This window comes from Homo sapiens, chromosome 22 (assembly GCF_000001405.40).
Source record: "Homo sapiens chromosome 22, GRCh38.p14 Primary Assembly".
Taxonomy (NCBI): Eukaryota; Metazoa; Chordata; class Mammalia; order Primates; family Hominidae; genus Homo; species Homo sapiens.
Genome location: NC_000022.11, coordinates 33,610,191 through 33,637,600, shown reverse-complemented (window position 1 = coordinate 33,637,600; position 27,410 = coordinate 33,610,191). Strand labels below are relative to the sequence as shown.

The 27,410-nt window shown below is 44.5% G+C and overlaps 1 protein-coding gene across 22 annotated transcripts in view, besides 1 other annotated feature; it reads left to right on the top strand.

Moving 5' to 3' along the window:
• The window catches only part of LARGE1 (LARGE xylosyl- and glucuronyltransferase 1), an 856,162-nt gene that overhangs the window by 285,224 nt on the left and 543,528 nt on the right, over nt 1-27,410 (top strand). For all 22 annotated transcript variants that reach the window (XR_007067993.1, XR_002958722.2, XR_007067994.1 and 19 more), the window contains one exon: nt 11,275-11,357. Coding sequence is in view for 19 of the 22 variants with exons in the window: in XM_024452302.2 (XP_024308070.1) it covers nt 11,275-11,357 (83 nt within the window). In the remaining 3 variants the exon portion in view is untranslated. The remainder of the gene's footprint in view (nt 1-11,274; nt 11,358-27,410) is intronic.
• Nucleotides 15,163-15,338: a silencer, noted in NCBI's record as "fragment chr22:34018247-34018422 (GRCh37/hg19 assembly coordinates)". NCBI's record gives its function as "represses an EF-1alpha promoter that drives an FKBP-Casp9 reporter gene in an ReSE screen in K562 erythroleukemia cells {active_cell/tissue: K562}" and the evidence as "EXISTENCE:reporter gene assay evidence [ECO:0000049][PMID:32094911]".

Below are 27,410 nucleotides of genomic sequence, written 5' to 3'. Positions count from 1 at the left end.
TAAAAAGCTACAACGACTTTTATAACCTAGCCTCGGATGTCTTATACCATTACTTCTGCTGAATTCCATTGGTCATACAGCCCGGCTCTGACACAGTATAGGAGAGGCTACACGGCATGAAAACCAGGGGGAAGGGATCTTTGGAGACAGTCTTGGAGGCTGGCTACCACACCATGGCCAAGGCAAGGGACCATATCTCTGCCAGCCCCCTGTCTGTGCTGGCCTCAGAGTAGCCTTCTCTTGTTGCATATTCTGCTTTTTTGTAAAACTTATTTTAGAAATTGTGCCACTGAGAATGACAACAACAAATAAAGATGCAACTCTCTCATTTTAAAAATGATGAAAGGGTCTTGCCTCAGGTTACAAAGTTGCAGCCACAGCCCAGATGATGAGTCAAGTGTCTCACCTCCTCATTCCTGTGTCTTTTACCCTGTTATCTGGGGAGAGGTGACAAGGCAGTGTCAGCATTTGATGGAACAGAGGGAATTGGGCACCTTGAAGACCTTCCTTTCAATGATGGGAAAAATACTATCCTAACCTTACTTGAAGGTAGAGGAAAGAGTGAGAGAAGAAGAAAAGAACTTGATGGCTGACATTTGAGGAAATTTGGGGCTCAGACCTTAGATATAGAACGTTCAGCTTAGAATAAACTATAATTGTTATTATTATTGATGATTGCTGATACATACCCATTACTTACAAGGTACCAGGCTCTAATCCCTTTACGCGAGTCATCTCAGTTAATTTGCCCAACAGTTAGTTGACATGGGGCTGGGCATGGTGGCTCATGCCTGTAATCCCAGCACCTTAGGAGGCCGAAGTGGAAGGATTACTTGAGCACAGGAGTTCAAGACCAGCCTGGGCAACATAGCGAGACCCCATCTCTCCAAAAAAAAAATACAAAACTTAGCTGGGCATGGTGGAGAACACCTGTAATCCCAGCTACTTAGGAAGCTGAGGTGAGAGGATCGCTTGAGCCCAGGAATTTGAGGCTGCAGTGAGCCATGATTGTGCCACTGCACTCCAGCCTGGGTGACGGAGCAAGACCCTGAAATAAATAGTTGACACATTTATTACTCCTCTTTATAGATGAGGAATCTGAGGTCCCAAGAGGTGGAGTTACGTCTTGAAATGTGGGGAAGAGTTTGATAGGTGAGGTGAAGGGTCAGAGCAATCTAGAATGAAGGCACATTCTAAAAACAAGAAAGCTTGATGAGTCATCTAGCATGACCATAACATGGCGCTACACTGATCATTGTTGAGTGATTGTCTGGCTAATGTGTGTGGACTTTTTGGACCAGGCCAGTCTTCCAGAGGCCCCCATGATGGATCAGTATTGGGGTGTTGTTAGATAACCCACCTACCCCAGATATGATCTCCCTGTATTGATTACAATTCTCTTGACCCACCCCAAAATCGGTCTCATCCTTTAATGTTTTCTGTGTAAAATTTGGGTTTCTGATTTCTCAGGTGGCTATGCTCTTTATAGCACAAGAAAGTCAATCCTAAAGCAGACTGGGATATGCAGGATAGAAAATCCTGGATGCTTCATTCATTCATCATCCATTTATGTGCCTTGCCGTGGAGGGGACACCAAGAGACTCCTTGTTCTCACAGCAGGCCCTGGAACCCATGTGGTCACACCTGTTCCTCGCTGAGCCCTGAAGGCTTGGCTTACAAAGCCAGGTGGTGCATCTACTTCTGTTTTCTGCATAGTTGAAATAACTTTGTCTTTGCATCCATGGTTCAGCATTTAGAGTGGACAGATTTAGATGAGTGGTTTCCCAAATCCTGGAGGTTTGTAACATGATTTGAGAGGGTACATTTGCCATATGTTTTAAAAATGTTAATAGGTACATATGTGTTTTATTGAGGCCATTACTGTGGGCTTAAAAGCAGGACCCTGAATTCAACCCGTCACTTTGTCACAGACTAGCTGAGCCCTCGGACCTTGGGCAAGTTACTTAACCACTCTGTGTCTCACCTTCTTCAGCTTGAATTTGGGAAAAACCTGGATGTTAGGAAAATGCTGTATAGAAATTCTAAATCCCTTGTTTGATAGAGGCAGTGGCTGAGGATCCAAGAGGTTAGATAATTTGCCCCAAATCACTTAGCTGGCACAACTGTGTCATACTGGACCCCTTTTGACTCCAGTAAGGACAACACCGTGTCTGAGAGGTTGAAGAAGAGACTCAGAGCCAGTGAATGAGACAGGGTTTATGGAGAACTTACATACAGGGGTGGACCAGTGACCGCAGGCTGAACAGCAGAACTGCTACCATTTGTAAAAAGCATGCAGTTGATATCATGTTTTCACTTAGCAGTCTCCACCCTGCAACCATCACTTAACCAAAAATAAAGGGCCTCGATCCCCTGTACGGTCTGCATTCCAGGGAATGGGCCAGGGGTTCAGATTCCTTCATAGATAAGGAGTGAATCTCCAGATTGGCCACTGTGGGATTCTTTTTCTTTTTTTTTTTTTGGAGATGGAGTCTTGCTCTGTCACCCAGGCTAGAGTGCAGTGGTGCGATCTCGGCTCACTGCAGCCCCCACCTCCCGGGTTCAAGTGATTCTCCTGCCTCAGCTTCCCGAGTAACTGGGATTACAGGTGCCCGCCACTGCGCCTGGCTAATTTTTGTATTTTTTTTAGTAGAAATGGTTTCACCATGTTGGCCAGGCTGGTCTGACCTGTGATCCACCCGCCTCAGCCTCCCAAAGTGCTGGGATTACAGGCGTGAGCACCATGCTTGGCCCGGGATTCTTAGCTCAGAACTCCAAACACACATCCTTCTTGGACCATAGGGTCATTCTCAGGAATTGCCTAGGTTATTGCTGTCAGGTCTGTCTGCCATTACAAACTGGAACCAGCATCCAGCTCTCTGGATTTCCAGGGGTTTTTATTATTATTATTATTATTATTATTATTTTGAAATTTTTTTTGCAGTAGAAGCCTATACCCATTCTCATCTCTTTCCATTTTTTCTCACCCTGAAAGAGTAACAAATTCCAAGGCCTCGGGACATGTGGTGGTAGCTGAAAGAAGAATGCAGCCTTTCCTTGTCTTGTCCAAGTGAAGAAAAGTGGTGCTCTCTACTTGAGAGGAATTGGAAATAGATTATTTGCACGCCCTCGTACTCTCTCAAAATAATCACAGTTAACATGTGTTGAGTTTTTACTATAGAGTCTCTTCCAAGTGCTTCTGCTAGAGCAGCGGTTCTCAAAGTATGGTCCCTGGGCCGGCAGCAGCAGTGTCGCCTGGATGCAGACTATTCTCAGGCTCCACTCCAGAGATCCTGGATCAGAAACTGGGGAGGAGTCCGCACTCTGTTGTAACAAGCCCCTCCAGGTGATTCTGATGCATACTGGAGTTGGAGAGCCACTTACTCCATGTCCTTAACAAGCACTTTAAGATTATGTCCCCCATTATACAGAGGATGAAGTCAAAGAAGGAGGACTCTGAACAGTGTCTTGTGCTGTTTATTCATTCAGGAAACATTAATAAGCATTGATTTATTAGGGGCACTTTCTTGCACTCATTTGTTTGATCCTGACACAACCCAATCGGTAGCTGTTTTTATCTCCGTTTTACGGATGAGGCGAGTGAAGCTCAGGGACACTAAATAACTCTTCCAAGATCACGCGGCCACTTAGCTTCGAGCTTGTGGCTCCAATCGAGGTCTCTCTGCTCTTGTTGTGGGATTTGCACACTACGTTGCCCCTGCCTCTGACCCTCGCTGCTGCCTGTCTGACCCCGGCTGTTCGCTTCTCCGCAGCTGTCAGAGCATCTGTCCTCTGGGAGGTCTTGCCTGTCCCCCTCAACCCCACCAAAAGTCTGCAGCTACCATCCAGAATCTGTGCTGAGCCTGTCTTTCCATAGCACACCTGATGCCCAAGTTGAAATGGGTTTCGCCTCTCACTCTCTCAGTCTGTCTGATAGGAGATGCTTAACTGAATCGTGCCCCCAGGCAGAATGGGCTGAAGGGAGCACCAGGCCCTGTGGGCAAGAGAAGCAGGGCTGGCAGGGTGTTGAAGAGTTCTGCCAGGGCCACAGCTTGCCTGGCATCCCTTAGTTTGGTGTGAATTTCTTTTGGGACAATGATTTTTTTCCCCATATTTATCTGTGAAAAACTGCTCCCTGAGGATTCTTTCCTGCTGGGAGGCAGAGCATGGAGAACTTTATGTTTCAGGTTTTCATGGAGGCTGACAAGCAAAGAGTCACAAGTCCAGGCTGGCCCTAATATCACTGGTTGCTCTTGTGTGGTCACTGAAATGCCTTCTCCTCCAAGATGCTCTCCCTGCATCGTCTCTTATCTGGGTGATGCTGGCCACTCTGGGATGCAAAGACACCCAGCTTGCCATGGTAGGAGCCTCTCATTCTCCTGTGGGATCTCCTGGTTAACTATCAAATTGCCTCCACACCTGATTTTGGGGAATGGGGATTGTCTTAAAATTTACCTTTATTTCCTCCAAGCCCAGAACAGTCCTGGAACACTGGCAACTCTAAAAACATCAATGTTATGAATCTTTTCTGCAGGTTGTAAGACAAGGTCATCCCTTGACCCCAGTGGGGTCAGGAATGAACCCAGTTCACAGTTCTGCACTACCTTACCTGTATCATCAAGTACAGCCTGCAAGATTCAAAGTGTGCTGGGTACCATGTCTAGGATGACAGGAAATTAGTGGAAGCCTTAGCATTGCCTTAGAAAGAGCTTTTATGGTTCATTACTCAAGAGCTTTGTAAAGCTTTTAAAAAGTATAAATAAAATGTATAAATTCTCAAGTTTGTTACATTGGTGCCGTTTCCTTTAGGGATCAGCAAGTATCTATGAATGCCTGAAAGTCTTCTGTGCTTTCTTTCCAGCCAACAGGACAAGTGAGATGCTGAGGAAAGGTCCTCAGTGTTGGTCAGGTCCTGGCAAGTTACTGCTTGCATGCTTAGGGGCTGAAATGATTCCAGGAGGGGCCAAGAGGTATGGGCAGGGCTGAGGGGAGGCAACACAGAGGCAGGAAGGTGTTAAGAAACCCAGCAAGGACTGGAACTTGTGTGATTGGGCCCCTGACAGGAGCCGGGGAAATCTGACCTCTGAGACCCCCACTGGTGCCTCCCAATGACCAAACTCAACCCAAAATCAGAGGCAAAAGGAGCCCACTTAACGTGGTCTACAAAGGTCAGACTCAACCAGGCACGGTGGCTCATGCCTGTAATCCCAGCACTTTGGGAGGCCGAGGTGGGCGGATCACATGAGGCCAGGAGTTCAAGACCAGCTTGGGCAACGTGGCCAAACCCCATCTCTACTAAAAATACAAATATTAGCTGGGCATGATGGCCGCATGCCTGTAGTCCCAGCTACTTGAGAAGCTGAGGCAAGAGAATCGCTTGAACCTGGGACACGGAGGTTGGAGAGAGCTGAGATCATACCACTGCATTCCAGCCTGGGCGATAGATCGAGACTCGGTCTCAAAACAAACAAACAAACGGCCAGACTCTCCAGACACAGGACTGTTAGGAGAAGGGTAGAGAGTGAGTTGGAGGGGCAAACGAGAACATCATTCCATCCTCCATCTGGACTTTGTGACAGAGAAACATGAGTGTTATGTCTATACAGTCATGTGTTACATAATGACATATCTGTCAACAGTGGACTGCATTTACCACACTGCTCCCATCAGATCATAATGGAGCTAAAAATTCCTATTGCCTAGTGACATCATAGCCATCCTAACATCATGTGCAACACATCGCTCATGTGTTTGGTGATGTTGGTGTGAACAAACCGACTGCGCTGCCATTTGTATAAAACTATAGCGCAATTATGTACAGTACATAATAATACTAGAGAGAAAATGGCTGTGTTACCAGTGTATGTATTTATCATACTATCATTATTTTAGTGTATTCCTTCTACTTATTTTTTTTAAAGTTAACTGTAAAACAGCCTCAGGCAGGTCCTTCAGGAGGTATTTCAGAAGGCCTTGCTGTCGCAGGAGATGACAGCTCCATGTGTGTTAATGCCCCTGAGGACCTTCCAGTGGGACAAGGTAAGGAGGTGGAAGACAGTGATATTGATGATTCTGACTCCGTGTAGGCCTAGGCTAAGGTGTGTGTTTATGTCTTAGTTTTTAACAAAAAAGTTTTAAAAGTTAAAAATAAATAATTTTTAAAACAGAAAAATGCGTATAGAATAAGAATATAAAGTATTTTCATACAGCTGTACAATGTGTTTGTGTTTCAAGCTATGTGTTGTTATAAAACAGTCAAAAAGTTAAGAGCCAGGCACAGTGGTGTGCAATTATAGTCCCAGCTACTCTGGAAGCTGAGACGGGAAGATTGCTTGAGCCCAGGACTTCGAGGCTGTCGTGTTCTGTGATCATGTCTGTGAATAACCGCTGTACTCTAACCTGGACAATATAGCAAGACCCCATCTCTTAAAAAAAAAAATAGACAGTTGGCTGGGCGCAGTGGCTCATGCCTGTAATCCCAGCACTTTGGGAGGCTGAGGCGGGTGGATCACGAGGTCAGGAGATTGAGAGCATCCTGGCTAACACGGTGAAACCCCGTCTCTACTAAAAATACAAAAAAATTAGCCGGGCGTGGTGGCAGGCGCCTGTAGTCCAAGCTACTCGGGAGACTGAGGCAGGAGAATCGCTTGAGCCCGGGAGGCAGAAGTTGCAGTAAGCCGAGATCACATCACTGCACTCCATCCTGGGCAACAGAGTGAGACTCCGTCTCAAAAAAAAAAAAGAGATAGTTAAAAAAAATTTTAAATTTGTAAAGTAAAAAAGTTCCAGTAAGCTAAGTTTAATTTTTTATTGAAGAAAAATATTTTTTATAAACTTAGTATAGTCTAAGTGTACCATGTTTATAAACTAAGTGTACACAGTAGTGTACTATAATGTCCTAGGCCTTCACATTCTTTGACCACTCACTGACTCACCCAGAGCTACTTCGATTTCTGTGAACTGTAATCATGATGAGTATCCTATACAGGTGTACCATTTTTTTCTCTTATATTATATTTTTACTGTACTTTTTCTATGTTAAGAGATAGAAATACTCACCATTGTGTTACAGTTGTCTACAGGATTCAGTGTAGTATCATGTATACAGGTTTGTAGCCTAGGAGCAGTAGACTCTAGTATATAGCCTATGTGTGTTGTAGGCTATACCATCTAAGGTTGTGTAAGTGGACTCTAAAGTTGCTCGGAAGACAAAGTCACCTAACGATGATAGGCTACTCAGAAGATATCTGTGTTGTTAAGCAAAGCATGACTGTAATTTCAGGTGTAGACAGGAAGGCCTAGTGCAAGGACCAGTGGTCACTGATTCTGACATTCAGATCCCACCCTTTGGTTTGTTTGTTTGTTTGTTTTTTGGTTTTCGGTTTTTTGGGGTTTTTTTTTGAGACCGAGTTTTGTTCTTGTTGCCCAGGCTGGAGTGCAATGGCGAGATCTCAGCTCACTGCAACCTCTGCCTCCCAGGTTCAAGCGATTCTCCTGCCTCAGCCTCCTGAGTAGCTGGGATTATAGGCACACGCCACCACACCTGGCTAATTTTTTGTATTTTTAGTAGAAATGGGGTTTCACCATGTTAGCCAGGCTGGTCTTGAACTCTTGACCTCAGGTGATCCGCCGCCTCGGCCTCCCAAAGGGCTGGGATTGCAAGCATGAGTCACCGCGCACAGCAAAATTAGCCTGCAGTGATGGTGTGTGCCACCATGTTGGCCAGGCGGGTCTCGAACTCTTGACCTTAGATGATCCGCCCACCTTGGCCTCCCAAAGTGAGCCACAGGCATGAGCCAAGACCCCACCCTTTGATAGGAGGAATGTTGAATAGTTGTGACCATTTTTAATCTACCACACCAAGAAACTTAAAAACTGAACTTAATAGCTTCAAGCCCTAAAGTCACATGACAAAACCATTTTTGTGACCCCATTCTTTCAAGGATCGTTTATCTTTCTCCCTACTCTCCCCATTCCCACTCCAACCCCTGCCCCACTCATGGTTCACTTCTGTAACCCCAGATTTTGGAACACCCAAAACTCCTCTAAGAACATAGTCGATGCCACTGTGATTTTCTGCTTTCCCAGGGAGCAGGGCCCTGCTGCTATGCCTCCAGATGATGCATTTATTCATGGTGGCAGGTGTATTCGATGAAACTAAAGAGATTGGAAAATTATGTAAAATGTTCAAGAATGTGCATGCTTGTGCTTACATTTAATGGGCCCATTTTAAAAAGTCTCTGAACCCTGAAGCCAAGACAAAGTTTGATATCTCTGAGGCTGTATGTTTAAATATTTGCGATTCTGAAGAGCCTGATTCAGCGTGTTTTTCCCCATTCTCATCCCCTTCCCAGTTATGTCTTCCATGTGCAGGCGTTTTCCTATTCATTTCCCTCATGATTGAAATGGTGACAGTTACATCTGCATTATAATCTTTCATCCTGAGTCTTTTACAGATATTATCCAGAGATAAGCAATGGTGTCTTTCTTTTACAGGTGGAGAAATTAAAATATGCATAAATTAGCCTGAAAAAAAGGTACCAGAAAACCCAGAGGGATCTGACATTGCTTCATTTTGCTTCATTTTGCTCCCTCATCCCTCATACAGGGTTTTCTAACAGCACTGCTCTTGACCTTTGGGGCAGGACAGGTCTTTGTTTTGGGGCTGTCTTGTGCATTGTGGGATGCTGAGCAGCATCCCTGGCCTCTACTCACAGATGCCAGTAGCATCCCCCTGCCCCCCACCCCAGACCCACCAAGTAGTGACAACCAAGACTGTCTCCAGGCATTGCAGATGTCTGCGGGTTGGAGGATAGGGAGGTGAATATGTCCCTGGTTGAGAACTACTGCCTTCCAGTAGAGCATTTGAAGATCCTGGGCATCAGGGACTGTGAATTATTGGTCTGAAGGACGGAGGGCCTGGGGCACAGAATATATCTTAAAAATCTGTTTCTGATGTACCACCAGGGTTAAGAATCTATTCTAGGCGGGGTGCGATGGCTTATACCTGTAATCTCAGCACTTTGGGAGGTCAAGGTGAGTGGATCACTTGAGGTCAAGAGTTTGAGACCAGCCTGACCAACATGGTAAAAACCAGCTCTACTAAAAATACAAAAATTACCTGGACGTAGTAGTGGGTGCTTGTAATCCTAGCTACTCAGAAGGCTGAGGCAGGAGAATCACTTGAACCTGGGGGGCAGAGGTTGCAGTGAGCTGAGATAGTGCCACTTCATTCCAGCCTAGGTGACAGAGTGAGATTCTGGCTCAAAAAAAAAAAAAAAAGCAAAAACAGTCTGTTTCAGAATTCAAATCCCAATTCTCTAAGCCTGGGTTTCCTGATCTGTGATACTAAAATGATAATACTGTACCTGTCTCATACAACTTTGAGCCTGAAATCTGGTAATATGAAGCACAGTGCCTGGAATGTCATGATTTGCTCACTACATACTAGCTTTCATGATGCTTCTCATTCCTCTCTTGCATCTCCCCTCCTCTTTCTTCTTGGGAGCAGGTATAAGAGCAGAGGTGGAGACCGTAGCACCCATCTGGGTTGGGGATTTGCATTTTGAATGTGGGGGTAGAGTGCATACGGGAGCTGAGAGCAGAGTGGGGTGATGGTTCAGATGAGCCCTGGTGGGGGCCAGCATGGAGCCTAACAGTCAACGGCAAAGGGACCCTCCATAGAGGAAGAGGAGCGGTAGAGTGATGTGAGGCTCTGAGTCCTGCTCATGTGGCAAGCCCATAATTGTAGGATTTCTGAGAAAATTAGATTCTATATGAAGCCAAGGTCAAGTTTCTCGTACTGGGAATAGGTGTCCAAGTTGGGGTGAAGGTCATTGGGGTTAAATGGGTCATGGATGTGGATTGGAGGGTGTGGGATGGTTCATCCCTGATGGCCGAGCCTCCCGTGCTGATATAAGACAGTGGGGTGATGAAGGAGGCCTGGGAACCAGAGGACATTGTCACATCACCCTGTATGGGATGGACCCAGATATCAGAACTGCATTTTGACATGGCTGGTTGGGATAACAAGGTATCTGGAAGCCCGTGTCATGGGAGCAAGGGCTCTGAGGAGTTCTGGAAAAGAAAAGGCATCTCTCAGGTCCCCTCCTTTAATGGAAGTATTGAATGCTGGAGGAAACGTCATTGTTCTACAATATGCCCAGGACAGAATGCAACTGGAGTGGGTGTTAAGAGGCAGGTTTCCATTCAAGGAAGGCTGTGCTTCAGTAGAAAGGACAAAATCCGGAAGTATGAACTCTCCATTCTTCCCGAGGCTGGATAATGATGTCCCGTCGGGGATGCCCTAGAGTGGTGCTTTCCGATCTTTTTCAAGTTGTGCCACACATAGAAAATGATAACTGCTATGATGCAGGAGGAAAATAGAAAAGTTGCCTGAGGATGCCAGCCCCGCCCAGTAGCTTAGAGGGCGTAAACAGATGAGTATATTTGTCACCTGTAATTCAATCGTGGCACACTAAGGTGCCTGGGCACTCCATTTGGGAAGCCCAGCTCTGGAGGACCTTTTTTGGTATCATTGGAATGTAGTGTGGTGGGCAGCATATTCCCCTCTTGGCATTGTTCCCTCACTCCTTAGCACCATCCTGCAAGACACATGTCATGACGCTTAAATGGCAGTGAGTCAGTGGACCCTGCAGCACTCCCAGGGTCACCCTGAGTTCAGGGATTCATGTCTGAGGCCCATGCTCCTGGCTACTTAGTTGAGATGACCCCTTGGGTTCCCTTCAATTCTGCCAGTCTTCCGTTCTTTGAACTGTATCCCAGATGGGGTGCGGAGGTGTTCCTGTGTCCCCTTTGGCCCTTTTATTAGGTTGACCCTAACCCAACACATCTTGTGGGAACATTTCACTAACTCTCTGAGCCATAACTTCTTAGTCTGAGATCCCTGATTGTTGGTTCATACTTTCAAGATGTATTTCTTTCCTCTCTGTTTAACCAATTGTCATTGTCGCTCAGCTTGAGGACAGGAGACTCACTGTTTGCCTATTTGAGCCAATCACCATCTCTCTTGTCCCCAAAATGTAATTGGAAGGAGCCTTAATGGTTTCCAAATGATAATAGCTCCATAAGCCGATTAAAAAGGCCTTAATAAAACTGTCTTGAGTTATTTTCCACAGCTGCAGACAGTGTCCTTTGTTTTCTAATGATGCCAACAAGAAATCAGGGCAATTTTTCTTTCTAGTGTGATCTGAAGCACCAGGAAGGCCTCCTTCCGTCTGTCTGACTGCTCACCCCGTCTTCTTTTCTTCCCAGACAATCCACGTTGCTATTGTCTGCGCCGGATACAATGCCAGCCGGGATGTCGTCACCCTGGTCAAATCCGTCCTGTTCCATAGGTAAGAACAACTTCTGTGCTGTGTGGGCTGAGGTCTGTCACTGCCTGCCTGTGTATTTCCTTGGGGAAGGGTTAAATAGGAGCAAAATTTCTCATCAATCATTCTAGCTGCCATAAAAATGTAATTTTTGTCTGAAACCCTGAGGAGATGATTGTGTTAACAATGTTTAATGACAGCGATTAGGTGCTGTCTTGCCATGTTTAGAATTGTAACTCTCAGACCTAATGCAATCTTAAAGGACACCTCAAATCTGATGCTTCAGTCTCTCTATCAGCTTCCCCTGCCTAGCATTTACCAGATCTCAGTTGTTATACATCCTTGTCGGTAGGTTGTGTTATGGATTGAGTTATGTCCACCACAATTCTTATGGTGAGGCCCTCATTCCTGGTACCTGAGAATATGACTGTATTTGGAGATAGGGTCTTTAATTAGATTAAAATGGGGTCATTAGTGTAGGCCCTAATCTAATATGACAGGTGTCCTTTAAAAAAAAGAGGAGATTAGGATACAGACATGTGCCAAACACAGACCATGTGAACATACATTGAGAAGGAGGCCATATGCAAGTCAAGAGAGCGGCCTCAAAAGATCTTGGACTTCTGGCCTCACAGACAGTGGGAAAATAAATGTCTCTTGTTTTATCCACCTAGTCGGTGGTGTTTTCTTATAGACAGGTTGCTTCCTCTATTCTGGTGTGGGCTGTCCCACTTTTGGGCATTTCTGACTGTAAAAAAGTCCTGCCTTAGTTAAACTGTTTCCCAACCTGCGGATGATCTCCATTGACTCTCGTGGACCCCCATGGGAACCATCATCCTAAGGATTGGTTCTTCTTCTACCTGGAAGTGATAATGCCTCTGGATGCTCATCTCTTCTCCATGTGACACTTCCAGCATTGGCTTCTGCTTTCTCATGGAACTTTTCTTCTGTTCCTCACTATTTTGATTGGCATCTAGACATACCCAGGGTCCTATCCAGAATGGTGTTCATGGTTCCAGCCAGTGTCCTTGGCTCTGCTTTAACACTCTTGCCAAGGGTTTGGATGAAGCTTATCCACAGCTGTAGCCAACAGCATGGAAACCTGTTGGGTGGATGAGTCAGGATCCAGGAGGCTCTCCATAGTAGGAATAGTGGTGAAAAGTTTGCAGAGGTCAGCTGAACAGAGATCAGTGTAAAATGCTGCACCTGAATCTGTCAATGGCATAAACAAAGATGGGAACCATGGTGGGCTTCAAGACCTACCAACCCTGCAAGGAACTGGGATTCGTCATTGGTTCTACCTTCTCTCTGTCTTCCAACAAGCCCATCTGCAGTCAGTGCTTTGCGATTCTCCCTCTGAGATAGTTTTCACTTTCTCCCCGTTCTCTCCATCCCCACTGCAACTGATGTCATTCAGGGCCACCTATCCTCTCACCTTCATGTGTCCTTCCTGCTTCCCCAGTTTCTACTCTTCAGATCATCTGCTGTGATTCCAGAATGACATTTCAAACAGGCACATCTGATTTCTCAAAACCTTTTAGCGGCTTCTCCTTGTCAAGGGGTGGAAATCAAACCCTTTTACCATGGCACAAAGACCAGGTTGATCTCCATAGTGCTTTCTGTCTCCTCTTTTTGCTTTGACTTTGCACTCCAGCAGCTCTGACCTGCTTGTAGCTCCCCTCTGCCCCCATAGCGTGTCCGGCCTGTTGTGTCTGGTTATGCTGCTCTGTCTACCCATTTCTCCCTCCTTCTCCATTTCCTCCCACCCTCACCTTGGCAAACTCCCTCTTAGCCTTTAAGACTTTACATAAGCATCTTTTCTAACAGGAAGCCAACCTTCTGCCTGTGTTGGGGTTTCTCGTCTACCAGCCCACAATACCCCCTGTGCTTCTTTCCATCATTAGATTTATTACATTATATTTTATATATCTATTAATGACAGGTCTGCTGTAGCAGAAGGTGGGCTTTCTGGAAGACAGAACCCATGCCGTCATTTTCTGTGTCCCTAGTATCTTAGCAAAGTAGCTGACACGTATTACATGCTCAATAAATGTTTACTTATTTGACAAGTCAGTCTGGGGGAGTTCATTAATAAAGAACGTGAAGATATATATTCAATCAGTTAATTAATATATCCAGCCCAGACTTAGTTCAGTTCCACATTCATGACACTATATTGCTGAGTGATTGTCAGCAGTTCGTTTTGCCTTATTTTTATTTTTTATTTTATTTTTTTTGAGATGGAGTTTTGCTCTTGTCGCCAAGGCTGGAGTGCAGTGGCATGATCTTGGCTCACTGAAACCTCTGCCTCCTGGATTCCAGCGATTCTCCTGCCACAGCTGCCCAAGTAGCTTGGATTACAGGCGCCTGCCACCACACCCAGCTAATTTTTGTATTTTTAGTAGAGACTGGGTTCCTCCATGTTGGCCAGCTGGTCCCAAACTCCTGACCTCAGGTGATCCACCCACCTTGGCCTCCCAAAGTGCTGGGATTACAGGTGTGAGCCACCGCCCCCAGCCATTTTAACTCTTTAGACTTTAGGTTTTTTTTTTTTTTTTTTTTAAATCAGTTAACTTTTGCTGTGTGTCAGTTCACCCTAAAACTTAATGGTCTGAAACATTTACTTATTAGTTCAGTTGTTTCTACTGGGCTGACCTGTACGGTTCTTCTGCTGGGCCACTTACGTGCCTGCAGCAAGCTGGCAAGTTAGCAAGCGTCAAATTCACTGCCCATCCTGAATGGAGAAGTGGATAGGAGAAGTAAGCAATCAACAAATAGATAACAGTTCACCGTAGAGGCTGTCAGTTCTTCCTCATAGCGCTGTCCAGTTGGAATTATGATTTCAGTTGTATATTTGAAGAGGAAATGGAAACACCAAAGAAAGAATGGCCAAATGGGGCTTGACCTACTGTCTTCTGACCTGAGGTGAGATGCCCTTTCCACATTGTTATTGTTTCTCTGCAGTTTTGAAGGCTCCTTTCAGTACTACGGCCTTCATCCTGTGGCTTAAAACCAGGCATTTTGTACACTAAGCATTGAATGAGATGAGTGGTCTTCAGACTTTTATGTATTTACTACTTGTTGCCATGACGTATCAGGTCTCTCCCTGGTTTAAAAAAAAAAAAAAAAAGCCCACTTTCTAGAAAAGGGCCTTTGCATGATGTACAGGTATTCAATTACGCTATTTCTCAATTATGGCAAAGTTAAAGGTCATAAAAACCTCTGGTGTTGTGTATAAATTTTATTCCTGTTGCCCTAGCTGCAAATCAGATAATCTAATAGTTGTTGAAATTGTAAGAATCCTGTTGGGTGTAAACTTTTACTCCTACAGTAACTGTGCAGCACAAAGATGTTAAATTAAAAAATAGCGGTAGTAATATTATTAGCTGCTGATGGCATGTCGTACTTTTAAGACGGCGTGAGGACTTGAGAAGAAAGCAAATCCTTAGTATGTGCTACGAAAATTCTGCATCCCATTTGTTATGCTGAGCCCCTGTCTACTCCAGTGGGCATGGCACTAGGTTCAGGAGGCCAAAGAAGAAACCCAGGGCCAGCAAATGAGACGTTGGGTTTAACTGGGGGCTTACATATATGGGGAGAGATTCCAGTGGCAGCGGGCTGGACAGATCTGCCTTACGTACAGCCCAGTGGCAACAGGCTGGTCAGGAGAACCCCAGGACCCAGTGGCAGCAGGTTGGGCAGGAAAACTGCAACTACTTATGAAAGGCATGCAGTTTATATAACATTTTGGCTTAGCACCTGTGTTAGTCCATTTTCATACTACTATAAAGAACTGCTTGAGACTGGGCAATTTGTAAAGGAAAGGGGTTTAATTGACTCACAGCTTAGCATGGCTGGGGAAGCCTCAGGAAACTTATAATCATGGCGGAAGGTGAAGCGGGAGCAAGGCATCTTCTTCACAAGATGGCAGGAAGGAGAAGTGCTGAGTGAAGGGGGAAGATCCCCCTAGAAAGCCATCAGATCTGGTGAGAACTCACTCGCTCACTATCATGAGAACAGCATGGGGGAAACCACCTCCATAATTCAGTAACCTCCACCTGGTCTCTCCCTTGACACATGGGGATTATGGGGATTATAGGAATTACAATTCGAAATGAGATTTGGGTGGGGACACAAAGCCTAACCATATCAGCACCCTTTCCCTAACAACCTCCAGTGGGGGTGGCACCAGGAGGTTGCCAAGTAGCACCACTTCAATCATCCCAAAACTCAGGGCCTCAATTCCCTGTATGGCTTGTATTCCATGGGACAGTTTGGGAGCTCAGATGTTTCTTATAGACAAGGAATGAATCTCCAGGTTGGCCTTTCCTGGATTCTCCAGTTCAGAACATACATTCAGGTACGTCTGTCAAACAGGGTCATTCTCAGGGTATGCTTAAGTTATTGCTGTCAGGTGCGTTTACCATACACCATTTTAATGACTACTGACCACCTTGGACCAAATTACCACAGAAGTTCCTGTCATCCCTGAAATTATACAAATGGGAATGATTCTGTGAATTGATATGCTGGTGATGAGTTGAGATACAAGACAAAAGGACTTTTGAAAGACTTTCGGCTCAGAAAGTCCAGCTATAAATAGCTTCATTGCTTCCCAAGCACATTATGGGGATTAACTAATACATGGTTATAAAATACATTGACAAATGAAGTACCTTACTAATGTTAATAATAATATAATAATAGTGGTGCAGGATGCTTCTTTTGGCTTTCACTGTTAATTATAGTAATTAGATTTATTTTCCAGACAAGATTTGGTGCAAATTTTCATTTAAGGCTTGCTTCATTACATCAAATCAGTTTTACTTCTGCCATATGCTTGATGACATATTTCAAAAGATAGTAAAAGAGTAATATAGACACACTTGCACACTAATGCCAACGCTGACAATTGCTGCGACCTGTTGGAGAGAAATTAATACAATGTGGGAAGACCTTGACCCAGTATGACCACCGTAGGGACTCTCCCTTAAAAAGAGAACCCTAACAATAGAAAAACCTTTTATAAAATATTGCTTTATAATTATAAAATTGGATAATACTTAAGAACAGAATAAATAATGGAACATTCTCTTATGGTAAACCATGTACTCAGTTTTGAAAAGTATGGCATACCATGAAGCAATGCTTATATAAAATAAGTGAAAATATAATTTAAAATGGGATGCATCGTATATATTTCAGTATACACACACATGCCTATATGTGACATGTACACATATACAGGGTCAAAATGCAGACTAGCAGAAAATACATAAGAAATAGGACTTTTGCGTCTTGTGTTTGGGTGGTAGAAATAAAGGTAATCTTGTTTTTTTTGAGACAGATTCTTGTCCTGTCATCCAGGCTGGAGTGCAGTGGCCTGATCTTGATGCAATCTCAGCTCACTGAAACCTCCACTTCCTGGGTTCAAGCAATTCTCCTGCCTCAGCCTCTTGAGTAGCTGGGACTATAGGCATGCACCACCACGCCCGGCTAATTTTTTTTAGTGGAGATGGGGTTTTACCATGTTAGCCTGGCTGGTCTGGAAGTCCTGACCTCAGATGATCCACCTGCCTCGGCTTCCCAAAGAGCTGGGGTTACAGGTGTGAGCCACCATGCCTGGGCGTAATCTTGTTTTTGTTTTCAGTGTTACATATATTTTTGGTTGTGTCAGCATGCAACCTCTATGGTGAAGAAGAAAGATGGATGAGAAAAATATATACAAATTATAAATGACAAAGGTTTGTTTGTTACCCAGTAGAAAATAGCACAATACACGTCTGTATCACCTAGACGGCAGGCTATTCAGAGGAAAATTGGGGGGAATGCCTGTGACTCCAATCCCAGTTGCAGATAAACGGGGAAATATTGCTGCTCTTCAAGGAAACTAAACTCTTAGGGAGCAGAGAAAAGAAATATTTATTTAGCAACTAAGTGTTTACCTCCTGGGCAGGAAAGTGGATCAGCTTGTAAAAATTTAATATTTGTTTGCTAGCATGATCTGCTTTCACACTCTACAGCCTTGTTGGCAGGATGAAGCTGGGTTATTTGCCTTACTTTGCATATCAAGTAGTTGTTTTTGGTTTTGTTTTTTTAAACTTCACTTGTGCCCCTGAAGGACGTGGTGAATAAAAGAGCATATTCGTGACCAGTATCTGCCTTTAATTGTCTTATCCCTTATTCAGGCTTGAATTCATTGTAGAACTGTCTGAGTTGTGCATAGGATTTGAATAAAACAAAGAAGCAGGCCTGGGTTCTGGTTCTGCTCCTACCAGGCCTGAGCTGGGTGACCCTAAGCACGTGCCTCTACATCTTGGAGCTTTGGCTTGTTTCTCAACCTGCCTTAGAGCCCCGTTTTGAATATGGGAATATAGGCTGTATGTAATACTTGTCTGTATTTTATTTATTTAACAAATACAAATGTAGCTCTTGCTCTGTATCAGGGTCTGTTCCAAGTGTTTTCCAGATGGTAATGCATTGATTCCTCATATGCCTTCAGGAGGTGAGCACTATTATGATGTCCATTTTACTCAGAGTTAAACTAAAGAACAAGATGGTAAGTCGTGGCTCAAGGTCTCAGTGAGAAGATGGGCAGAGCCTAGTTGGAAACCAGGCAATCTAGCTTCAGAATCTGAGCTTCTCAACAAAAAGAAGTTCTCATTTTTAGTATCATGCTTCTTTTTTCTTTTTTTCTTTTTTTTTTTTTTTTTGAGACAGAGTCTCACTCTGTCACCCAGGCTGGAGTGCAGTGGCGCAGTCTCGGCTCACTGCAAACTCTGCCTCCCAAGTTCAAGCAATTCTCCTTCCTCAACCTCCCAACTATCTGGGATTACAGGTGCCTGCCACCACACCTGGCTAATTTTTGTATTTTTAGTAGAGATGGGGTTTTGCCACGTTGGCCAGGCTGGTCTCGAACTCCTGACTTCAAGTGATCTGCCTGCCTTAGCCTCCCAGAGTGCTGGGATGACAGGTGTGAGCCACTGTGCCCGGTCTCATTATTCTTACTTTTACTTTTAATTTTCATTCTGGGTGATAGTGTAGACGTTGTGATCTCCATAATCATTTTGATGCAGGATTTTTTGTTCCTTAGCTCAGCTAGGTCTGGGTTCTTGTCTCGTGACCAGGAAGAATTAGGCACACGGACACTCAAAGAATGAGCAAGATGGGAAGTTTTATTGAGTGATGAAACAGCTTTTAGTGGGGAGAGGATGCGGGGTGGTCCCCCTACTCAAAGGCAGGAGAGTTCCCAATATAGCTGAGCTCAAGGCTTCTTATGGGCTCAGAATAGGAAGTGCATGCTGATTAGTTTGTGACTATGCAAAAGAGGTTAAAGCAAAGACACCACACAAAGGTGGGCATGATAGTGTAGAAAACCGATTAGGAAAGGGTAGTTATGTGTAAAATAGGTGAAGGATGTGGATTAATTAGGGGAAATCACACCAAACAGGAAGGCGGGTTCTCAATCCAGTTCCAGAATTTACCCAGGACTGTTTCTGGCTTGAAGGTTGGATTTCACTGGGGACCTGTTCCTTTCTGCCTAGGCATTTGTCTGCCTTTTGCCTCTATCAATTCTCACCCCTTCCAGGTATGTATTTTTGAGGTGTTAAGTGTAGAATCAATACAGGTTTTAAAGGCCTGGGCATCAGTATTTCTAGTTAAGTCTTAAGAAAATAGCATAGGCACGTGATATCTTTGAACAGGTAAGAGATCAATGGTATTTGGTCATACCCATAAATATTAAAACCAAAAGGAACTGCTTTTTATAGTGCAGATGTTAAGCTTCACATGGGCTATTGTATTTGAATGTTATCCCGACCTGGTGCCATTATCCCCATAAACAGATGAGGAAACCAAGGCTCAGGGAAGTTAAATAGTTTGTTCAAGGTCACAGATGAATCAGTCTCCAACCTGGACTCTGCCAGCCCCTACAATCCATGCTGCTTTTACTGCATTACAAGGCCTTTTGATTTTTCTTGAAAGTTGCTCTGTTCTTCTCTTTTGGAAAGCTTTTCTGATATGGCACTGACTTGTCCTTGAATCTTCCCATATCATCAAAGGCACTTGGCCACTCTCAAATGAAGGACTCACTGAAAAACTCTCATTCTGGCTGCGGTGATTTTCTGAAATGAGTCCTATTAAATCTGTAAGTGCAACAGATTCACTGAGAATTCAGGTTGCTGTCACACGCGCTTTCTTTTCCTAAGTTTGCCATTGCATTGTAAATTTAATAATTAAAGATTATTTCAGCTCAAATGTCCTTGTATATTTTAATGAAAACAGGCCCTAGATTGCCTTGGAGGGACTGTGGCACATTCCTGACAAAATAAGGAAGGCAGGAAGAAAGCAATGGCTTAATCATCTTTGCCTCTTTGTAGTACCATATTTATTGCATCTCAGCCTGGAACAAGGGAGCAGTTAAGGAAACCAGAGGGAGCAGAAGCGTTGCTCATTAAGAGTGAAGTCTGCAGGCTCTGCTGGAGAGGAAGCACATACTTGCTTCCTTCTTTGGTGTAGAATTGTGGTCTGGTCTGTCTGTGGACCACACTTGATGTCTGCAGCAATATGTGGGTTGCAGTAACCCAGGCATGCTATGTGGGACCACTCTGTATTAAGATGTGTACCCAAGCTGGCCTGGCCAGGCAGAAGCTTTTTCTAAGGGGCCTCAGGCAGTGCTCGCAAGTGTATTTATAACTGGTAGCTGGCATAAAAGACTATTTTAGATGTTATACAAATATAAAACTAAATAGCCTTGAATCATATATTGAGAAAATTATTCCTCTGAATGAGTTTTTATTATCTGCAGTTGGCGAAATTCTCTTTGGTGTAAATATGTCCTTAACATCTGTCTAACTCTTGCTAATCTCCCTTTGAACAAAAGAGAATAGGATGTAGACTCATAGGCTTTGGCTGATTTTGGAATTTGCAGGGCTCTGTCATTAAAACTATTTCTTACCTTCCTGAGTTAGGAACCAAATGTGAAATAAGGCTCAGAAGTCACGCATATAAAGAATGAAATAAGCCTCCTTTATGGCCGTTAGTCTTGAGTATAGGATGTTCTTTCAACTGTGGCCACAAATAGAGCTCTCACTTATGTCTCCATGAATTGGACTTACCTCCCGGTCAGAGGCCAGCCTGGACAATTGCGGGGTTTCCCACATGGGCACACCATTTACTGCTTAGCACATCCCCCTAGGGAAGGAAGCCCAGAAACAGAAGCAGAGCAGGCCTCCTTCCCTCTCCCAAATACACAGGTCAGACCAACATTCCAATATTTGCCTATTCCTCTGAGATGAATAAGTAAATATGATAAAATTTGCTCTTTAAAAGTGTACAATTTAGTGGTTGTTTAGTAAATTCACAGAATTGTGCAACTATCCTCAGTATTTAATATCAGAGCATTTTTATAACCTTAAAAAGAAATCCCCAGCCCCAATACTACTCATTTCCTCCTCTTCCCATCCCATACCAACCACTAATCTGCTTTCTGTCTTTTTGGATTTGCCTGTTCTGGACATTTCATGAAAGTGAAATCATACAGTATTTAGTCTTTTGGACTGGCTTTTTTTCATATGGCAGAATGTTGTCAAAGTTCATCCCTGATGTAGCATGTATCAGTTCTTCATTTATTTTAATTACCCACAAATATTCCATTGTATGAATATACCCCATTGTATTATCCATTCATCAGCTGATGGCCATTTCAGTTTTTTCCACTTCTTTTTTTTTTTCTTTTGAGACAGAGTCTTGCTCCATTGCCCAGGCTGGAGTGCAATGGTGTGATCTCGGCTCACTGCAACCTCCACCTCTTGGGTTCAAGCAATCCTCCTGCCTCAGCCTCCCAAGTAGCTGGAATTACAGGTGCCTGCCACCATGCCCAGCTAATTTTTTAATTTTTTAAATTTTCTTATTTTTTTGTTTTTGGGAGAGACAGGGTTTCGCCATGTTGGCCAGCTTGGTCTTGAACTCCTGACCTCAGGTGGTCCACCCACCTCAGCCTCCCAAAGTGCTGGGATTACAGGCATGAGCCACAGTGCCCGGCCATCCACTTCTTGACTATTATGAACAATTCTGCTAAGAATGTTCTGTATAAGCTTTTGTGTTGACATCTGTTTTCATATTTTTATAGATATTTTTATTTTTATGCTTAATTTTTTGAGAAATTGCCAAACTGTTTCTCCTACCAGCTGCTTCATTTTACAGTTCCACCGGTAACCATTGAGGGTTCCAATATCTGCAAATTCTTAATCACTGTTTGTTATATATCTTTTTTATTTTTGCCATTCTAGTGGGTAAGTGGCTTATTGTGGTTTTGATATGCATTTCCCTAATGATTAATGATATTGAATGTCTTTTCGTGTGCTTGTTGGCCATTTGTATATCTTCTTTGAGAAATGGTTATTTAAATCCTTTGCTCAATTTTTATTGGCTTACTTGTCCTTTTATTGTTTGAGCTGTAAAGTATCTTTATATATTGTGGATACAGGTTGCTTATCAAATATATGCTTGAAAATATTATCTCCCACTCTGGTAGTTTTTCACTTTCTTGATCATGTCCTGTGAAGCACAAAGTTTCTTCCTTTTTTTTTTTTTTTTGTTTTTCCTTAACACTAATTTATTTCATATGGTTCTGAAGTTGGGGCAGTCTGAGATCAGGGTGCTGGTCTGAGATCGGGATCTGGTAGGAATGGACCCTTTTCCTGGTTTGCAGATGGCCACCTTCTTGCTGTGTCTTCACATGGCAGACAGCAGAAAAAGAGAAAGGGTTTTTTAAAAATTATTTCAGTGAAATCTGTTTTTTCTTTCATTGTTTGTGCTTCAGGGACCATATCTAAGAAACAATTACCTAACCCAATGTTAAAAGATTTGCTCCTGCATTTTTTTCTAAGTGCCTCTGTACCTAACTTCCAGGTAATTATGTCAAGCTGTGGGCATTTGAATCTCTTTGGTAATTGCGTCAAACTGAGGGCATTTGGATCTTTTTGGTAATTATTCATGTGTTCATTTATTCATTCTTTCCTTAAACAATCACTGAGTATTTCTACCTGTAAGGGGCTGTAAAAAAAAAAATCTAGGTATAAGATTCTTAACAAAATAAAGCATCCATGCTAAGATTCCATCTAGCAGGGAACAAAGAAGAAGTAAATAGTCGATTATTTCAAAGATCTGAACTAAGGTTTGAGCACAGACTCAGCTGGAGCCACTAAGAAGGGCGTCTGACACCGTGGAATGGCCTCCTCAGAACTGTGGTGTCTAACTTGAGAACAGAAGGCCAGACGCAGTTAGCGGGGTGAAGCGTAGATGGTCCAGGAAAAGGCGACAGCATGGGCACAAGCCTGCCAGGAGAGCATGCTCAACCCTGGAACTGCACCCGAGACCAGCTAGATGCTCTCTAAGCGCTGGGGTTGTAGAGAGTAAACAAGAGAGGAGGTACTTTGTGAAGCTGGAGAAGCGCTATCCTCCACAGCTGACAGTCTCATGGAGGGTAGGAGGTAGTCTTGGAGGTTAACATGGAGATTTCCAGTGATAATAAATGCTAGGAAGAAATCTGACAGGACAGTGGGATGGAGAGTGATGGGGGAGATGGGGCTGCGTTGGATGGGGTGACTGTGGAAGGTTTCCCCGGGAATGTGGCTGTTGACTTTATTCCTGCAGGAGGAGCAGGAGCTGGTCACAGGCAGAACTGAGGGAGAAATGGCTGGAGTGCAGGGTTTAAGGAAGGGGTGTGAAGATATGAGCTTTGAGGGACAGATAGGGTGAGATCGTTGAAGGTCTTTTTTGCTCCATGCGAGAGGCTGGGGCTTATATATTGTACAGTGAGCAAGGGGCTGTGTGATTACATTAGAGCAAGTGTATGGCTTAGGGGCTAGAGGATATATCAGAGTGAGTTAGAGAGTCAGAAAAACAGTGAATATATTCATGAGAAAAAAGAGTGAATATTTTCATGAGATGTCCCCAAGGTTGGATAGGATAATGAGGCTAACATTTACTAAGTCCTCACTTCCTGCCAGTCCTTGTTGTAAGTGCTGCATATGTTTTAGCTCAATCGATCTGACAATAACTGTAAGGTAGGAGCTATTGTGATCAAGCCCATTTTGAAGATTTGGAAACTGAGACTCAGAGGTGAAGAAGCTTTCCCAAGGTTCAACATTTGTTCATGACAGAACCACGTTAAGAAAAAAAAAACAGGCAGTTTTGCTTTCAAGACCCAGCTCCTAACCATTAAGCTAAGCTGCCTTTCAGGACTTGAGGTTGATTGAGTGTGTGGCATACAGCTGGGTGGGGGGCCCAGGGCATACCCCCATTTCTAGCTTATGAGGCTGGGTGAATGAGGCACCTTTAACGCAGGCAGGAAATTCAAGGGGAAACCTGTGTAAGGGGCCAGGAGAGGGAAAACTGATTTCTGTTTTGGAAATTGAGGAAGCCACTCATCCATGCAGTCCTGCAGAATAAACAAAAGCCCCTCCTTACTGTGTCAGGTGGTGCTCTGGGAGCTAGGATGCAGCAGTGAATGCAAGACCCAGTCTCTGTCCCCAAGGAGCTTAAATTCTAAAGAAGAGACAGGTCCCAGACAAACACTCCACAAATCATTAGAAACTTGGTGTGTAGTAGCCGGGCGTGATGGCACATGTCTGTAATCCCAGCTACTCAGGAGGCTGAGGCAGGAGAATCTCCTGAACCCAGGAGGCGGAGGTTGTGGTGAGCCAAGATCGCGCCATTGCACTCCAGCCTGGGCAAAAAGAGTGAAAACTCTGTTTCCAAAAATAGAAGAAACTTGTGTGTAGTAGAATTGTAATTGGGTGCTTCTTGATTCCCAGGGACCTGTGGGATGTGAAAGTGGGGCCATCTGGTTGACAGTCAGATTTACAGGTTAAAGCTCAGGGGAACTATTTCGGCTTACACAGAAGCTCCAAGAAAGGTGGTCTGGGCAGTATTTTCATGTGCTTGTGCCATGGTTTGGTGAGCCTAAAAGGAAAAGGCCACTATCAGGAACTGCAGTCTGGGCCCAAATTCTTATGATGGTACCCAAAGTGGAACATTAATGGAACCCCTCAAGCATGCTGTCTGATAGGAGTCAGACACAAGCTGCTGATAGTTAGCCCGCCTTTGATTGCTGAGACAATATCAGCAAACTGCCAAGGTCTTGGTTGTCACCTGGGCTGAGGGGCTCATGTGTTTTCTGATTAAGCATTTGTATATTCTCAGGCAAGCTAATGAAACCCACTATTCCCTTTGACAATGCAGACACCTAGTATTGCCATAAAGGTGAGGGTGAGGTTTCTTTCTGGATTTACTCTGCCTTCTGGACAGAAGCTTTAAATAGACCAGAGGCAGAAGAAGATTGAAGGAGGAAGCCCCATCCTAATGTTTGTAGCATCTTTCTTTAAGGGCTTGCTCCTCTTACCCCACACTGGTCCACCTTCTGCTCTGTAACCAGGTTAAAACTTCCCAGAATTATAACTTCTATTTGCTGCCTGCTGAGCCTCCAAACCTTGTCTGGCTGTTTCTCTTAGAGAATGAAGTTTGCAGTTCCTAGGAACTCACACATTCTAGCCCAGTCTGTCCTGTAGACGTGGTCTCTCTTTTTTTCTTTTTATCCTCCCTATTTCTGGCATTAAGTAGGTGTGCAGTAAATGTTGTTGTATGATCCACCCAAATATGACTATTGTTCTTTCACAGACCTGCTCTGTACTTTACCACCTTTGTTCCTTTCTTACTCTATCAGAGTTGTCCCTTGGTATATAGAGGGGATTGGTTCCAGGCAACCCACATATCCAGAATCTGCACATATTCAAGTCCTGTAGTTAGCCCTATGTCACCTATCCCTGTTAGACTGTTCTTGTGTTGCTATAAAGAAACAACTGAGGCTGGGTGCTGTGGCTCATGCCTGTAATCCCAGCACTTTGGGAGGCCAAGGCAGGCAGATCTTGAGGTCAAGAGTTCAAGACCAGCCTGGCCAATGTGGTGAAACCCCATCTCTACTAAAAATACAAAAATTAGCCGGGCATGGTGGTGGGTGTCTGTATTCCCAGCTACATGGGAGGCTGAGGCAGGAGAATAGCTTGAACCCGGGAGGTGGAGGTTGCAGTGAGCCAAGACCATGCCACTGCACTCTAGCCTGGGCAATAAGAGCGAAACTCTTTCACTGGGGGTGGGTGGGGGGAAACTTAAGACTGGGCAATTTAGAAAGAAAAGAGATTTAATTGGCTCACAGTTCTGCAGGCTGCACAAGCATGGTGCCAGCATCTGCTCGGCCTCTGGGGAGGCCTCAGGGAGCATTTACTTATGTCAGAAGGGCAAAAAAGGAGCAGGCACATCACATGGTGAAAGTAGGAGCAAGAGAGAGGGTGGGAGGTGCCACAATCTTTAAACAGCCAGCTCACATGAGAACTCACTCAGTATTGTGAGGACAGCACCAAGCCATTAGGGATCCACCCCCATAACCCAGACATCTTCCACCAGGCTCCACCTTCAACGCTGGGGATTACCTTTCAACATGAGATTTGAGTGGGGGAAAAATATCCAAACTATATCATTCCTCTCCTGGCCCCCGAAATGTCATGTCCTCCTCACATTTCAAACTACAATCATTGTTTCTCACTAGCCTCCCAAAGTCTTAACTCATTCCATTTTTAACTCAGAAGTCCCAAGTTCAAAGTCCCATCTGAAGATGAGTTCCTTCTACCTGTGAGCCTGTAAAATCAAAACGCAGTATTTACTTCCAAGATGCAATGGTGGTACAGGCATGAGGTCAACACTCTTATTCCCAAAAGGAGAAACTGGCCAAAAGAAAGGTGCTACAGGCCCCCACACAAGTCTGCAACCCAGCAGGGCAGTCATTAAGTCTTAAAGCTCCAAAATAATTCTTGACTCCATGTCCCATACCTAGGGCACACTGGTGCAATGGGCAGGCTCCCAAAGCCTTGGGCAGGAACACTCCTGTGGCTTTGCAGTGTACAGCCCCTGCAGCTGCTCTCATGGGTTGGAGTTGAGTGTCTGTTGCTTTTCCAAGCACAAAGGTGCACATCGCCAGTGGATCTACCATTCTAGAATGTGGACGATAGTGGCCCCCTTCCCACAGCTCTGCTAGGCAGTGTCCCAGAGGGGACTTTGTGTGGGGTCTCCAACCCCACATATAACCTAAGCACTGCCCTAATAGAACATCTCTGGTGGGCTCTGCCCCTGTAGCAGGCTTCTGCATGGGCACCCAGGCTTTCTTATACATTCTCTGAAATCTGGTAGAGGCTGTCAAGCCTCCTTCACTCTTGCACTCTCCGTCCTGACAGGCTTAACACCCCATGGAAGTTGCCAAGGTTTATAGCTTGCACTCTCTGAAGCTGCAGCCTGAGATGTATCTTGGGCCCTTTGGGCTGAGGCTGGAACTGGAGAGGCCACAATGCAAAGAGCAGCCTTTTGGGGTGGTGCAGGGCAATGGTGTCCTGGCCCTGGCCCAGGAAACCATTCTTTCTTCCTAGGCCTCTGGGCCTGTAATGGGAGGGGCAGCCTGGAAGACTTCTGAAATGCCTTCAGGGCCTTTTTCCCATTGTCTTGGCTGTCGTACCTGGCCCCTTTTTAGTTATGCTAATATCTCTAGCAAGTTGTGGGTTCTTCTCCCCCACCACCCACCACCACCCTATAAAGCCTTTTCTTTCTTTTCCACATGGTTAGGCTACGAAATTTCCAAATTTTTACACCCTGCTTCCCTCTTTAAGTTCCAACTTTTAGATCATTGCTTTGCTCCTCCATCTGGACACTTTGCTGCTTAGAAATGTCCTCTGGCAGATACCCTAGGTTGTCACTCTTAAGTTAAAACTTCCACAGATCTCTAGGGCATGGACTCAATACAGTCACATTCTTTGCTAAGGCACATCAAGGGTGACCTTTAATCAAGTTCCCAATAAGTTCCTCATTCGCATCTGAGAACTTGTCAGACTGGACTTCAGTGTCCTTATCACTATCTGCATTTTGGTCACAACCATTAAACCAGTCTATAAGAAGTTCCAGACTTTCCCATCTTCTTCTGAGCCCTCCAAACTCTTAGCCCCTGTATGTTACCCAGCTCCAAAGTTGCCTCCA